The sequence below is a fragment of the Homo sapiens genome, chromosome 12, assembly GCF_000001405.40.
Source record: "Homo sapiens chromosome 12, GRCh38.p14 Primary Assembly".
Lineage (NCBI taxonomy): Eukaryota > Metazoa > Chordata > Mammalia > Primates > Hominidae > Homo > Homo sapiens.
The window spans coordinates 113,192,583-113,195,445 of NC_000012.12; the positions used below are offsets into that span (position 1 = coordinate 113,192,583).

The 2,863-nt window shown below is 49.9% G+C and overlaps 1 annotated feature.

The window, feature by feature from the left end:
* Window positions 1,522–1,816: a silencer, noted in NCBI's record as "tiled region #6569; HepG2 Repressive DNase unmatched - State 5:Enh". NCBI's record gives its function as "represses a minimal TATA promoter and a strong SV40 promoter by Sharpr-MPRA in HepG2 cells {active_cell/tissue: HepG2}" and the evidence as "EXISTENCE:reporter gene assay evidence [ECO:0000049][PMID:27701403]".

Genomic DNA, 2,863 nt, shown 5'->3' on the forward strand with positions numbered 1-2,863 from the left:
CGGCTCTTCCTTAGCTCAGAGTACAGACAATAGTATTTTTTTAGTTTTGTTTTTAAGTTTGTTTGTGTGTGTGTGTGTGTGTGTGTGTGTGTGTTAAGGTGGGAAATAAAACACAATGGCTAGGACTTTGCCAAGTGGAGGGTCCAAGAAAGCCAGACAGTGACATGTGTGTCTGCAGAGCACTTAGGATGCAGCCCAGGACTTAGGAAAAGCAACAAAGCCTTTGCGCAGATGGAATTGCACCCAGATTGGGCAGTGTGGGCTGGGCTCTGGGCCTCTCCTTGCCCCCGTCTTCCTGTAAGGCACCTCCAGGAGGCACCAGGATTTTAGGGAGTCCAGTTGGAAGCCACATCATCTGGTTGGTACGTCTGCCTTGGGGCAGGGAAGAGTGGACACTGCTGGGGAGGGAGACCTGCAGTGCCCAGGACCAGTGACACACAGAAACACCTGTGGGGTCAGGCAGGCCAGCTGTGCTCTCATGCAAACATGCTTTGTTTTTTGTTTGTTTGTTTGTATGTTTGTTTGTTTTTGGTGTTTCTTTTTTTTGTTTTGTTTTGTTTTTTAAGACACGGGGCCTCGTTTCCTTGCCCACCCTGGAGTGCAGTGGTGCGATCATAGCTCACTGCTGACTTGACCTCCCGGCTCAAGCCATCCTCCCCCTCAGCCTCCTGAGTGGCGGGGACTACATGCATGCACCACCATGCCTGGCTAACTTCTTTTAAAAATTTTTTTGGACTGGGCGCGGTGGTTCATGCCTGTAATCCCAGCACTTTAGGAGGCCGAGGCGGGCGGATCACGAGGTCAGGAGATCGAGACCATCCTGGCTAACACAGTGAAACCCTGTCTCTACTAAAAATACAAAAAATTAGCCGGGCGCGGTGGCAGGCGCCTGTAGTCCCAGCTACATGGGAGGCTGAGGCAGGAGAATGGCGTGAACCCAGGAGGCGGAGCTTGCAGTGAGCCGAGATCGTGCCACTGCACTCCAGCCTGGGCAACAGAGCGAGACTCTGTCTCAAAAAAAAAAAAAAAAATTTATAGAGAGGGATTTCATTCCTTCCAGTAAGAAACAAGAAAAAAAGGGAAAAAAAAGAGACATGAGTCTCACTATGTTGTACAGGCTGGTCTCAAACTCCTGGCCTGAAGTGATCCTCCCGCTTCAGCCTCCCAAAGTGCTGAGATTACAGGTGTGAGCCACCTCGCCCAGCTGCAATGTGCATTTTAAACATATAGAATGTTTAAGCTTCCTGGAACTTTCACTAACAATTAGTTACTCACGCCCACCTCAGTTTTTCCTGAAACATCCATCTCTCTTTTGCCTTCCCATCTTCCCCTTTGTTTCCACAGACATAGGCCAGAAATAACCTCTCTTTCCTGGCTGGGCATGGTGACTCATGCCTGTAATCCCAGCACTTTGGGAGGCCAAGGTGGGTGGATCACTTGAGGTTAGGAGCTTGAGACTAGCCTGGTAAACATGGCAAAACGCTGTTTCTACTAAAAATACAAAAATTAGCCAGGCATGATGGCGCATGCCTGTAATCCCAGCTACTCGGGAGGCTGAGGCAGGAGAATCGCTTGAAACTGGGAGGCAGAGGCAGTAGTAAGCTGAGATCCAACCAGTGCACTGCAGCCTGAGCAACAGAGCAAGACTCTGTCTAAAAAAAAAAAAAACAAACCTCTTTCCTCCTCCCAACTACAGTAAAATCTGGCAGTAGCCCAAGGTGACACTAAAGGGCAACGGACACCAGGCTGTGGTGTATGTAAGGCAGTTGGGGGTGGTGAGGATGGGGGCGACTTACTTTACCATCTAATGGGGGCTGCTGCTGCTGAGCCCTAGGAGATATGCAGACCTGGGATATCTGGATGATTAGATTTTTTTCCAGAAAAGGGAGAGTGTTGGATTTCTACATGGTAGCCCTCAGTTTTTTAAATGCTGACAAATAATTTAAAGATAATTGTTCAGGCCGGGGGTGATGGCTCATGCCCGTAATCCCAGCACTTTGGGGGGCCCAGGCAGGAGGATCGCTTGAGGCCAGGAGTTCAAGACCAGCCTGGGCAACATAGTGAGACCCTGTCTCTACCTACCCTTTTTTTTTTTTTTTTTTTTTTTTGAGACAGGGTCTTCCTGTGTCACTCAGGCTGGAGTGCAGTGGCACAATCTCAGCTCGCTGCAATCTCGACCCTCCCAGACTCCAGTGATCCTCCTACCTCAGCCTCCCAAGTAGCTGGGACTACTGCCGTGTGCCACCATGCCTGGCTAATTTTTTAATTTTTTGTAGAGACAAAAAATAAAACATGGGGTTTTGCCATGTTTCCCAAGCTGGTCTCAAACTCCTGAGCTCAAGTGATCTGCCTGCCTCAGCCTCCCAAAGTGCTGCGATTAGAGGTGTGAGTAACCACTCCTGGCCTAAAAATTTTTTACTTTAAAAAAAAAAAGTTGTTTTAAATAATTGTTCAGCTCCCTGGAATGTGAGGCTGAGGGCTGCTGTGACCTCAGGACTCCCTCTGAGCTTTCACAGTGCTAGAGCAGGGGAAGTTGCAAGCAAATTAATCCCAGAACAGGGTTAGGGGCAGCCTGAAACCTGAGGCCCCGCTCCTCCTGGAGTTCCCTGCCTGCTTCTTTGCCCCCTATGGGCAGCTGTGACCCACACCCCGCTGCCCTGGTGAGTGATGTGTCCATCATGGCCATGGCAGCTTCCGGGCTGCAGCTGGGGTCTGGTTTCCCACTAAGGCTGAAGTAAGGAACCATAATCTCTGGGCTGACACCCCAGGCTGCACGCTCCTCATGGAAACACCATCTGTGAGCTGGACACACACAGCCCACAGCCCTGGGTAAAGAGATTTATTCGTAGAGCGTTCCCTTCAA